The sequence below is a fragment of the Homo sapiens genome, chromosome 7 (genome assembly GCF_000001405.40).
Source record: "Homo sapiens chromosome 7, GRCh38.p14 Primary Assembly".
Classification (NCBI taxonomy): Eukaryota; Metazoa; Chordata; class Mammalia; order Primates; family Hominidae; genus Homo; species Homo sapiens.
The window spans coordinates 153,214,150-153,228,261 of NC_000007.14; the positions used below are offsets into that span (position 1 = coordinate 153,214,150).

Sequence of the window (14,112 nt, forward strand, 5' to 3'; positions counted from 1 at the left end):
CAGCATGTGCTTACCTCATTAGCATTTTAAGAAATACAATATTTTTAAATTGAAGTATGTGCATTTTAAAGACATAATGCTATTATATACATAATAGACAACAGAATGGTATTAACATAACTTTTATATGCACTTGGAAACCAAAAAATGTGTGTGACTTTCTTTATTACGATATTTGCTTTATTGTGGTAGTCTGGACCTGAACCCATGATATTTCTGATGTAGGTTTATACATAGTGTGTCTCAAAACATAAGCTAATAATTCTTTAAAATGCATTAGTCTCTTAAATTATGTAGAAAACAAAATGTGGAGTTACAAAACAAAGTTATAATCATACTAGCTTTTAGATTAATAATTGTTATTCTTTCAATGTATTAGTCTATGCTCTAATCTTTATTTCCTTCTGCTGTTTGGGCTTACTTTGATCTTTTTCTACTTCCTTGAGGTTTAACTTTAGGTTGTTTATTTGAGATAGTCTTCTTTTTGATGTAAGTGTTTATTACTATAAAATTCCCTCTCAGAATTGCTTTTGCTGCATCCCATAAATTTCTGTATGTTGCATTTTCATTTTAGCTTGTCTCAAGATATTTTTACATTTCTCTTTTAATTTCTTGCTTGACCCATTGGTTTTTCAGAAGCAAGCTGTTTAATTTCCATTTATTTGCAAGTTTCCCAATATTTCTCCTGTCACTGATTTCTCTTAAATCACATAGAAAATAGACTGTTGTTATAACAAAACTAGCTTTTAAAATCGTCCATGTACTTACCGTTGTTGGGATCTTTACTTTTTCTCAAACTCCTGACCTTGTGATCCACCCGTCTCGGCCTCCTGAAGTGTTGGGATTACAGGCATGAGCCACCGCACCCAGTCTTATTTTTTTATATAGCTTGGAATTACTGTCTAGTGTCCTTTCATTTCACCCTGCAGGACTCTGTTGAGCATTTCTTGTAGGGAAGGTCTAGTAGTTATGAACCCCTCAGCCTTTTTTTTATCTGTGAATGTCTTAATTTCTCCCTCACTTTTGAAAACATGGTTTTGCTGGATATAGGATTCTTGGTTGACAAGGTTTTTTTTGTTTTTTTTGTTTTTAAACACTTTGCAGGTATTGGTCCACTGCCTCATGGCTTCCAAACTTTTGCATGATAAATCTATTGTTAATCTTAGTGACAGTCACTTACATGTGATGAGTTTCTTGTCTCTTGCTGTTTTTGAGACTCTGTTTTTAAACGTTTGATTATATTGTGTGGATCTTTTTGAGTTTTTCTTACTTGAAATTTGTTGAGCTTCTTGAATTTTATATTCATGTCTTCCATCAAGTTTGGGAAGTTTTCAGTGATTATTTTAAAAATATTTTCTCTTCCCCTTTCTCTCTCTCTTCTCCTTCTGGTATTCCCACAATGCATGTGTTGGTTCCCATGATGAAGTCTCACATGTCTCTTTGGCTCTATTTGCTTTTATCCAATTATTTTTTCTTTCTATTGCTCAGACTTGATAATTCCTATTGTCCTATTTTCAAGTTCTCTGATTCTTTCTTATCCTTGCTCAAATCTGCCTTTGAATCCCTCTCTAGTAAATTTTAAATTTTAGTTATTGTACTTTTCAGCTCCAAGATTTCTTTTTGTTTGTTTTTAAGCTTTCTTTCTCTTTATTGATATTTCCATTTTGTTCATACATCATTTTACTGACTTTTTCTTTATCTTCCTTTAGTTCTTCAAACATCTCTAAGATGGTTATTTAAAACTTTTTGTCTAGCAGATCAGTCATCAGATCTTTTTCAGGGACAGTTTCTGTTGGATAATTTTTTCCTTTGAATGTGCCATGTTTTGCTGTTTCTTCATATGCTTTACAGTTTTTGTTGTTGTTGTTAAAGGCTGGACATTTGAATCTAATAATGTGGGAGCTCTGGAAAGCAGATTCTCCCCCTTCCCTAGAGTTTGCTGTTTTTGTTATTGTTTTTGTTTATTGTTTTCATTTTTTGACTATTGTAGTCTTTCTCTGTGCCAAGGAAAAATACCAATTCCAGCTTTGACAACTGTAAGATGATCCCAGTGTCATGCCAGGTCCTTCCGTATTTCGTACGCTCCAGAAAACATCATGATGAGAGTGAGTCAGCCATTAAAAACAAAACGAGGAACATCCAAGCTGGCACCTTGCCGAGTTGCTGGCAAACCCTGTGCTTTCCTGCCCCGCTGCTCTGCATGCGGCCACATCACCCTTTTTTTTTCTATCATATTATGATTCCAATGTCTGGGTAGATCATCTCAATTGGGGGAACATTCCACCTGCAAGCTAAATCAGTGTGGATTTGTTTTCCCTCACTATCCATCTTTCAGTTCAATCATTTAGCAGTAAGAATATCAATAATGAACATATTATGGGGAGGACTTGGCAATCTACTGTCAGTGCGAGGCCTTCAGAAGCTGGATGCCACCCCTCGGCCAGCTCGTAAATCCTGCTTTGGTGCATTCCCTGTCCAGCCTCCTGAGTGAGTGCTGACATTACTAGCACTGCAACTTACCAGTGACTAAGGGGTGTCATTTTAAATAAAAAAGCCCTCTGGGTGCGGTGGCTCACGCGTGTAATCTCAGCACTTTGGGAGGCCGAGGTGGGTGGATCACCTGAGGTCAGGAGTTTGATACCAGCGTGGCCAACATGGCAAAACCCCGTCTGTACTAAAAATATAAAAATTAGCCAGGTGTCATGGCCAGCAAGTGTAATCCCAGCTACTCGGGAGGCTGATGCGGGAGAATGGCTTGAACCCAGGAGGTAGAGTTTGCAGTGAGCCAAGATAGCACCACTGCACTCCAGCCTGGGTGACAGAGCAAGACCCTGTCTCAAAAAATAAAATAAAATAACATTAAAATAAAAATAAAAAAATAAAAAAGCCAGGCAAGCTTTCCAAACTGCAAGCTCCCTCCTGCTTGGCCATCTGTCTTTCCCTCCCTGCACCCAACTCTTCTCACTCTGCGCATAATGGTTTCTCATCTGGATGGAAGTTGGCTCTTGGCAGCTCTCATGCACGGTTACCTGCGGAGCCAGCCTTCTGCACCGCTGATGAAACATCATGAGCTGATGATGAAACATCATGAGCGGCTGCATCCACAGCGAAGGGGGTTCTCTCTGTCCTGGACTCGCTCTCAGTGTGGTGCTGATAGCCTACTCCCAGTTCGTCACAAGGGGGCTGGCTTCACAAGTCCAGTTTTAAATTTTTACAAAACCTGTAACTCATGAAGATTTTCCTGCCCACAATGTTGGAAGTCCCTTGTGATTGTAACTGGAAAGTTTCAATATTGGTGATGATTTAAGATACGAATGTTAGGGGGTTGTAAGCAATACATAAATAAGTTATTACATGTGAATGGCTTCAAACGGTGCCTGATCCGTGGTAAGCACTACATGTGTGTTCGTAACGTACCACTGTTTGCATCCAGAATCATCACTAATGGGGGAACTCTGCAGTCACAACACAGGTGGACAGGTTCCACACACTCCCTATCTAAAGCCCTTCAGACCAGATGTGGTTTGAATAAATCTTTTCCTATCTTTTTATGCTGCCTATACCACATATAGTGTTACATCCTCAGCAGCACCTTATTATTAAACATGTTACCATTTTCTCAAAGCAGTATATGAATATTTATGATTAGTCAGGAAAGCCTAGACTATAAATTGTCTAATTTTAGTTCAGGTCAAAGTGATGCTGAAAAGTTATGAAACCACATTTCTCGAGCTTCTTGTGTTTTCGAATTGTGAATATGGGATTATGGACCTGTGTTAGTCAAGGTTCTCCAGAGAAACATCACACACACACACACACACACACACACACACAATGGAAATTGGATCATGTGATTGTGGAGGCCAAGAAGTCCCACAATCTGCTTTCTGCAAACTGGATAACCATGCCAGGTGTGGTGGCTCATGCCTGTAATCCAAGCACTTTGGGAGGCTGAGGCCAGCAGATTACTGGAGTCCAGAAGTTCGTGACCAGCCTGGGCAACATGGCAAAACCCCATCTCTACCAAAAATACAAAAGTTAGCCGGGCACAGTGGCACACACCTGTAGTCCCAGCAACTCGAGAGAGGGTGTCCCACTGAGATAGGAGCATCACTTGAACCTGGGAGACAGAGGTTGCAGTGAGCCGAGATTGCAGCACTGCATCCCAGCCTGAGCAACAGAGCCATACCTTGTCTTAAAACAAACAAAAAACAAACAACAAAAATACCTGGAGAACCAGAACAGCCAGTGGCTTCAGACTCAGTTTGAGTCTGAATACTTGAGAACAGGAGTGCCGGTGTCCGAGGGCAGGAGAAGATGGATGTCCTGGGTCCAGAAGAGAGAGCACATTCATACTTCTGCTGCCTTTTGGTTCTATTTGGGCCTTCGAGGGATGGGCTGGTGCCCACCCACGTTGGTGAGGGGAGATCTCCCTTACACAGTCTGCTGATTCAAATGCTAATCTCTTCTACAAACACCTTCACAGGCACACCCAGAAATAATGTCTCACCAGCTACCTGGGCATCCTTTCATCCAGTCAGACCGACACTTAAAATTAACCATCATAGGACCTGTGTTAGTGTCCCTGGTCTACAGAAGAGGAACCTGAAGCAACCAGAGGTACCAAACCTCACCCAAAGTCAGAGCAGGACTTTGGATGCAGACAGTGGTCCCAGGCTTCCACTCTTACCTAATGTGCAGCAGAAGCTGTCTGGTAAGACTGTGTTGATATGGAGCTCAACTAGGGCTTATGCCTTTGTTGTTTTCTTTGTATTGAAGATGCAATTGTGGAAGGATTGAGATTGTTTGCAGAGTGGCTGTGTGCAGAAGGAGAGCAACCTTTAGGGGACCCTTGAATTTGACTGCCTTATTTGGGACAGAGGCAGCCTCAGCTTTGCCCTTTCTTGTGATTCTTTGCCTCTTTCTCTGTCTTCTGCCCAATTTGTCTTGCCACATGCCTGTGCCCTGACTGCCACTTGGTGTCCTACTCAGATCCCCTGTCCTGCCCCCAGAGACCCAGGGAATGGCCCTGCATGACAAAGACTCCCTGTGCCTCTGCCTCCTCTCGACCTATGAGGGATGGGAGATTATGGACAAATATGCCAGCAGCCTCGGCCCTCAATAGGAAGGTTCAGAGGGGCGTTGGATCCTCACTTTCTCACAGCAGTAAACCACTCATGAATGCACTGTTATTGCCTTTGCTGTCTTCCCTGTCTCACTTCCCTGCTCCTAGTAGGCATTGCATGCTGTGACCATGGGTCATCAAATGCTGTGTGACTGGAGCTGCCCGTCAAGAACTGGGCATTGTCAGATCCACCGAGTCCTGAGGTTTAGCAGGCACCACAACAGGACCACTTTCTTCCTACCCAGCAGTAAAGGACATTCTTTGTCATCTTTCCTTACCTCTGCAGTAAAACCACCTTCATACAGAATTTTGGCTCCTGTTACTCAGAATTTCATGCCCAGTGATGAGTAATTGTCAGGGGTCCATCTGGGACAGTTCTATTGAATTTCAAAGGCAAGATTTACTGATAATTTTTTCCTCATCTCACCTGTGAAAGGATGCTCCACTGCAGTGGTGATGATTGTCCCTGTGTGGGAACAATTTTGCTTTCTCTCCTTTTTCATCAGTGTATTTTACACATACAGCAAAATGATGTTTTACAATATTGATTTATGACTCATTCCTTTTTCCTCCCACAATTTCCCCTTATCCATTCACCCATATGATCAAGGAGCAGGCTTAATATTTCGTGTCAAGAAAGTAAGTGTGTGGGAGAGTTTAAGGTAAAGTGGTGTGTATGACCCATCCTCCCTGCTGAGAGCTTATGAGAATTTGGGGCAAATTAGGAAGATCTTGCAGAAGCAAGGGAGGGACCAGTACTGAGACCAAAACTGACTTTTGGCTCCTGTTACTCAGAATTTCTGCTAGAGATGCAGCCAGAGACCAGAGGGAGCCGCAGCCAGAGACCAGAGGGGGCCGTAGCCAGAGACCAGAGGGAGCCGTAGCCAGAGACCAGAGGGGGCCGTAGCCAGAGATCAGAGGGAGCCGTAGCCAGAGACCAGAGGATGCTGGTTGCACAGAACCTCTGGAAGGACGGGACTGACAGTGTTTCTGAAGATGCTGGTGGTCCACTTACAGGAGGGAGGGGCCCTGTGGACACCTCGGGAGCAAGCTGTGTGGGCTGGTGGCTGAGGACTGATTCTCCTCCACAAATGCCTGGGCACTTTGGAGATGGGAAAATCCTAATCAGAACAGAGTTCTGGTGGAATGGGGACCTCAGTATGTAATGAAGATGGTGGACAAAAGGAATATTGTTGTTGCTGTTGTTTATCTCTCTTGAATTTTTGGGCTGAGCATCACAGCTACTATAGGAGGTAACCAAGTCTAGAATCAACAAACATACTTGTGAGTTGCTTATAACATGGATAGAGTACAGCCCTTTGAATCCAAGCCAATTCTTTTTCAAAACAATACCAGTAATACTCTTGCAAAATAGGTGGAGAGAGGTGAGTTGTCTTCTCAAAATTCCTGTTGAATTAGGAAATGCCAGTAGCCTCTGATGACACTGTGAAAAGAAAATAAAAACTTGGGATTTCCAATTCACTCTGCCAAAAGAAAAAATTAAGCTGAAAGCCAAGTCATGCAAGAAACTGCCTTTCCTTTTGTTCTTAAGCAAAGAGCTACAAACAAAAAGTTAAATTTCCCTCCAAGTACCTACTATATGTTCACCTTATCTTGTGTAAAGTGCCGATGTGCTGAGTGTGAGAAGATGAATGCATAAAGTTCCCCTACCTCCTCCTTTTTTTCTTGCATCACGTGGATTCAGTAATGTGACCATACCCTCCCTCTTTCCTCTCCAGCCTGCTTTGCCCCATTGGTCATTGAAGTTCTCAGAATCATCTTTAAAGAAAGGCAGTAAGTTCCCCCTCAGGCATGTCTTTAACCTTGGCAAAATAAACTTCTGCATTGATTGAGACCTGTCTCAGATGCTTTTTGATTTACAGCAGTGAGTTGAAGAGTACTTCTATGTGCTGGCCAGCTCCTGGACAGACACCTGGTGATCAACACAGGAGAAGAGAGAGGGAGAAAGAGGGCAGGTGCAGCCTTGTTAGCATTGGCTGATAAGATTAGATTATCTACAGATTTCATGAGAAGCTTATCATGATGTTTAAGACCCTTATGTTGGACTCTGAGTTTGTGAGATGGAAACTATTCGTAGAGAGTGAAGGTGAATCCACTAGCTCTAACCCAAACTCTGCTGTCCATCCAGGATAAACAAGGACCATCACAGCAGCTTCAAGGCACAGCTGATGCATTGTAGGCTTTTGGGAAGACAAACGAGTCATTTCTGCAGGCTCTGAGACAAGGCAAAGGATGCTGGAGCCCCTCCAGATGGGCATGCCCCTCAATAGAGACACAGACGCAGAAGAGTTGTGCCTTGGAGTACTGCAGACTCCATAAGAGCTGGGGGAGCTCTTTTGAGCCTTGTTGTGGGACCATTTCTAAAGTTACCACTAAAAGATTACACAAGCTCACATGTTCAGTATTTTGGTTTTTCTTTGAGGCAATATGACTGTTTCATGATAGATTAATCCCCAAAGAAACCACACTCCTAGTAATGCAGAATCCAAGGTGTATTGGAGGCTTGGTAGGTTGAGTATGGAGGTAGGATGGGACAGACATCACAGGAGACAGAGGAATGAGAGAACGGAGTCCATTTGGTTTTGCAAGAGTCAGCATTTGCTTTTATCCAAAAGACAGGTAATAACAAGTCCTGGAGAGGATGTGGAGAAAACGGAACTATTGTATACAGTTGGTGAGAATGTAAATTAGTATGACCACTATGGAGGACAGTTTGGTGGTTTCTCCAGAACAAAAAATAGAGCTACCATAGGATCCAGCAATCCCACTGCTGGGTATATACAAGGAAAATAGCAGGGGAAAGAAGGGAAATTACTACATTGAAGAGATATCTCCACTCCCATGTTTATTGTAGCACTGTTCACAATAGCTGAGATTTGGAAGTAACTTAAGTGTCCATCAGCAGATGAATGGGTAAAAAAAACGTGGTACATGCACACAATGGAGTACTATTCAGCCATAAAAAGAATGAGAGCCTGTCATTTGGAACGACATGGATGGAACTGGAGGTCATTATGTTAAGTGAAATAAGCCACGCACAGGAAAACATTGCATGTTCTCACTTATTTGTGGGGTGTAAAAACCAGAACAATTGAATTCATGGAGATAGAGGGAAAAATAATGGTTAACAGAGGCTGGGAAGGGTATAGTGGATGTTGGGGAGGTGGAGATGGTTAAATGAGTACAAAAAAAGTTAGAAAGAATGAATAAAACTAGTATTTGATAGCAAAACAGGGTTACTATAGTCAAAATAATTTACTTACACATGAAAAAATAAAAGAGTGTAATTGGATAGTTTGTAACACACAGGATAAATGCTTGAGGGGATGGATATTCCCATTCTCCATGATGTGATTATTATGCACTGTGTGCCCATAACAAGTATCTCATATACTCCATAAATACATACACGTACTATGTACCCACGAAATTTAAAAACTAAAATTTTTTTAAAAAAAGAGTTGATGTTTATTCCACTGCAGGGTTCCAAGAACAGAGGAGCCTGCCCTGCTTCCTGGCATGGAGGCCAAGACACAGCATGTGGTGGAAGCAGCGCTCCTGTGATAACAGAGTTAATCCACTCACCAGGGTGGGCCCTCAAGACCCAAAGCCTCACCGCTCCACACCGCCACAACGGCAACCAAGTTTCCAACACACGAACCTTCAGGGACCACATTTAAACCCAAGCAGAGGTTGATGTGATTGATAGGAAGGTGCCCATAGACAATCTTAGGATGCAAGATGACTTGAATGAAAAGGTTACAGAAATGTGTGAAGATAACTGGGGAAAGGTTATGAATTAATGGCTTCTTATATCTTCAGACCTCACCACTTAGAGGGCAATAAACAATGCCCCTCATGTGGAAAGAGGATTGCATCAGGTAAAAAATTCAGCCTTTATAATGAGAGTTTAATGTCCTCTAGGTCTTATGTTGCTTCTGGATGAAGTGGCAATGGTCAGTTTCCAAATAGCATCCCTTAGTAGGCCAATTTCAGACTGATCTGAGTTCTTATTTTTTATTTTTAATTATTATTATTATTATTATTATTTTTGAGACAGAGTCTCTTACTCTGTCACCCAGGCTGGAGTGCAGTGGCATGATCTCTGCCTACTGCAACATCTGCCTCCGGGTTCAAGTCATTCTCCTGCCTCAGCCTCCCGAGTAGCCAGGATTACAGATGCCTGCCACCATGTCCAGCTAATTTTTGTGTTTTTAGTAGAGGATGGGGTTTCACCATATTGGCCAGGCTGGTCTCAAACTCCTGACCTCAGATGATCCGCCCGCCTCGGCCTCCCAAAGTGCTGGGATTGCAGGCGTGAGTCACCGTGTCTGGCCCTGTTCTGAGTTCTATTTCTGCCCTAGTCAAACTGGCACCTCAGTGTTTTATTTTATTTTTACATTAAAAGGGTCACAGACGATACTCAAGTTTCAGGAATATTGCTGAATATGATATCTGCAGTTTGAAGATTCATTATGCAAACCAGCTTACTGGCGCTCAGAGTGTTTTTACGTAGGGAAATTATGTTAGCTTTACTGAATATTATCATTCCAGATGTATATAGACTCAGAACACATTTTTATTAGAGCATATTGTTGATTTTATCTGGTCCAGTTTCTCCAGTAGCTCTGGATTAGGTAAATCCTAAGTCCTCCAACTCATTCAATTCCATCCACAGTCAGGCACACAAATCAATCCAATCTTCTCCACCACTGCTTTTCCAAAATAAATAATCACTAATAAATCATCAGATGGGGGAAAGGATTGTCTCATTTTCCTGCAGCTCCCCCTGTCACCATCTTTTGCACATGTAGCAGGCCCACAGATCACTCCTACATCTTTACTCATGCTGTAACTCTCCTAGGAACCCCTTTCAGCATTATCACCTAGGTTTTAATGTACACATTAAGCCCTGATACTCTATGAAGCCCTTCCTAATTTCTTTCATTATTTTGTTAATAATAATGGCTAATACTTTGTGAACATTTGCTACGCATCATAAACTCTAATGAAAGCCCTTTTTATGCATTATTTCACATAGCTATTAGTATTCAGTGAGAGTGGGTATGTGATTAACTCTCTAGACCTCAGCTTCCTGATCTGTAAAATGAGCATAAAAATCCTTACTGAGACAGCACAGCTGGTGAGTAGCAGGGCTATGATTCAAACTCACTGCTGACCGACTCCAGAGCCTGCCTTCTTAAACACTATGCCATAGCCTGTCTCTCAAAATTCATTCTCATATCCAAATTCCTGTAAAGTTTTTTATTAGACCAGTTTTAGAATTTAGTTATTTATCATCTATTTTAACATTCACTGCTGTATAAATGGCTTCTTTTTAATTAAGTTGTAAATTTAGAGCATAAGTTAAGACTATACAGATCTCTAAAAAAAGTACTTGTTTTCTTCTAGGTACTTGAGGACAATGATAGCTGCCTAAATCTACCACACCACAATGCAGAAGACTGCACAAGGGAAGAACCTTGAGAACCACATAAAACTCAGGCTCTGCTGCAAGCCTTTCTTGCAGGCAAAGGCAGTCTAATAAACATTTTTTAAAAATCTTGCATAGAAGAGAGAAGAAGGGAGTGAGCAGCAGATCTAAAATCTTTCTGAAACCACCACTAGGATGATAAAGTTATCCTAACTGTGAAAATACGGAAAAAAAGTGCATTACTGCATCACAGTGCTGATTACAGGGAAGAGACTTATAATACATGTGCTTTGAAGTGGCAGTCTTCAAAAGGTACAGCTTCTGAGAGAAAAAGATGAAAAACTAAGAGGGAGGCACTGCAGTGACTGGGTGGTAAAAAATAAAAGAAGTGGAAGGAAAAGTTACAGTCTTACAAGGCAAAGGGTAACATGAAAGTCAGAGGGTACATAACCACTTCCTGCATCAACAGAAATCTCATCCCTGAAAAAATGTAGACTGTTGCTATACAGACAGAGGAGGATGACAAGCCATTAAACTAGAAATCTTGTAAACCACCACTCATATGCAAAACGAATAGTATTGAGAGGTGAAGCTAGCAGGGCTTCTTGGTCGAGTGTGGACTTGGAGAACTTTTCTGTCTAGCTAGAGGATTGTAAACGCACCAATCAGCACTCTGCATCTAACTAAAGGATTGTAAATGCACCAATCAGCACTCTGTAAAATGGACCAATCAGCACTCTGTAAAGTGGAAGAATCAGTGCTCTGTAAAATGCACCAATCAGCAGGATGTGGGTGGGGCCAAATAAGGTTATAAAAGCTGGCCACCGGAGCCTGCAGGAACAACCCAATTGGGTCCTTTTCCATCCTGTGGAAGCTTTCTTCTTTCACTCTTCACAATAAATCTTGCTGATGCTCACTCTTTATGAGCTGTAACACTCACCAGAGGGTCTGTGGCTTCATTCCTGAAGTCAGTGAGACCACGAACCCACCAACCCACGGGGAGGAACAAACAACTCCAGATGCACTGCCTTTAAGGGCTGTAACACTCACTGCAAAGGTCTGCGGCTTCACTCCTGAAGTAAATGAAACCACGAACCCACTGGAAGGAAGAAACTCGGGACACATCTGAACGTCTGAAGGAACAAACTCCGGGCACACCATCTTTAAGAACTGTAACAGCTCACCACGAGGGTCCACGGCTTCGTTCTTGAAGTCAGCGAGACCAAGAACCCACCAGAAGGAACCAATTCTGGACACAGGGTGAAATGGAATAAGTCTATGCAAAGTTACCACAAAGACACAAAAAGTGAGAATTAACACATTTCAGCTGGATGAAACTTCTCACCAGAAACAACCATGAAGAAAAATAAACATGTAAGAAATGATTCAAAATGAGTTAAATATACTAAAATCTCAAATCTGAAGAGCCACTTTGAATTAGAAATCTGAAAACTGAAAGCAAAAATAGAAAAAGCAGAAAAAAATGAACAGAGTTGATTGAACTTAGCAAAGAAATGATAAAAAGAAGACAAAATCATCTCAGAGTGAAGAAGACCGAAATGGAAGATAATAAAGTGAATTGACGGAACGCAAGAAAATAATCTGCAAATGAATATAAGGTAAAGGAAGATGTAAAAAGGCCCAGTAGAGACTGGTTGACTAGAGGATAAATAAGAAACAACATACATAAAATTGAAGTTATTGATGTAGAAAACCAAACAATAGAACAGAATTAATATTTAAATCTAATCCAGAAAACTTTCCAGTAATAAAATAACACAAATTTACATAATGAAGGAGATCACAGAATACCCGGGAAAATAAAGCAGGAATGACTGACGAACTTCAAGACATACTCTAGTAAAATCATTAGACTTCCAAGATAAAACAAGCACTTTTTTTATTAGACCAGTTTTAGAATTTAGTTATTTATTGTCTTTTAAAATTCACTGCTATATAAATGTCTTCTTTTTAACTAAGTTTTAAATTTAGAGCACAAGTCTAATCCCAATACTTTCAGGTAAAAACATTAAGTAACATATGAGAGAAAAATAAGCTGTAATTAGAATTCTTAGAAACAACATAAAAAGAAAGGCAAAGCAACAGTGGAACAGAATAAAAAAAATCCATGTGAAAGGAAATGTGGGAAAGGATCTTTATTTCCAGTCAAACTGTCTAAGTGCCAAGATTACAGAAAGCCATTTTAGACATACAGCAACACAGGGAATTGTGTGTCTAACGGGGGGTGAGCTTCATTGGAATAAGAGATGATTATAAAAATTTCAGCAAAACGACCAGTCGTCTGCATAACAATATAATTGTACATACAAGGCTAAAACAAAGGCAGAGGCAGGGAAGAAAGACTAGCATACAAATGTTACGTGTTATGAAAAACGGAAATAATATGACTTTAACAAAGAGAGGAAAAGATAGAGGGAAAGGAAAAATGAACCACCCGTTGTCTTTTAGAAAGTAGGTGGGGGTTGTAGTATATCACTAAATATTGATATATCAGATAGGAAAAAGTTAAATAAGAAAACAGCTGGTGCTACTGAAAAAAAAAACATAGGTACAAAGACAAACACTACGACAAAAATACAAAATTCCTAAGTACAAAAGAGTAAAGGTTTTAAAAATAAAGAGCAAAACACAAATGCCATGCAGAGAAAAGAACAAAGCAAAAATAACATAATACTTAAAATATTATGACCAAGTTACTATTTGGAGTAGTAGTCATATTGACAATTATGAATGCACTGTTAAAATACAAAGATTTTAATTTGTTATGCAATGGAAGACTTATCTAACAAGAGATACACCTGCAATGAAATACTTCAGAAAGGTTAAATATAAAGAGATGAAGAAGTATACCAGGCGAGTGAAAACAATGTGAGAAGAGATTGCTAATCCAAATATTACAATTGAAGTCTAAAAGTATTAAATGTGACAAATAAGGATGTTTTAAAATGCTAAACATAATTTTTAATGGAGATACAGTGGTAATAAACTTGTCTATACCACTTCACACTGTAACCATGTTTATGAAATAAAAATTACAGGAGATGTAACAGAAACACAAAGGAGATATCAACACATCAGTTTCAGTACAGGACAGATCATGTTGAAAAAAATCAGTGAGGATATGGAAGACCTAAGTAATATTATAAAGATAATCTGTGGATACATACCAAACTAGATATTCTCATAACAGAGAATATGCCTTATTCTCAAGTTTACATGGAATATTTACAAAAATTAACTGTATATTAACAAATAGAGTTCCAAGGAGTAAAATACTGTAAACAAATTTTTATTTTACAATACAATAAAACTCGAGATTATTAACAAAATCCTGAAAGAAAAAAGACCTCTCCATCTAGTAAAATTTTATTAAATAACCCTTGGTAAAAGGGGAAATGCAAATTGATATTAAAGAATTTCTAAAAACTAATGATAGTGGAAACGACCTATCAAATCTATGTGATGTATTTAAAGCAGTGATTAGAAGAAAATTCATAGGACTAAACACTGA

The 14,112-nt window shown here is 40.2% G+C and overlaps 1 long non-coding RNA gene across 1 annotated transcript in view; it reads left to right on the top strand.

Moving 5' to 3' along the window:
* The window catches only part of LOC102723686 (uncharacterized), a 121,255-nt gene that overhangs the window by 32,407 nt on the left and 74,736 nt on the right, over positions 1 to 14,112 (top strand). Inside the window, exon 4 of the long non-coding RNA XR_007060599.1 lies at positions 10,559 to 12,199. This is a non-coding gene — a long non-coding RNA (uncharacterized LOC102723686). The remainder of the gene's footprint in view (positions 1 to 10,558; positions 12,200 to 14,112) is intronic.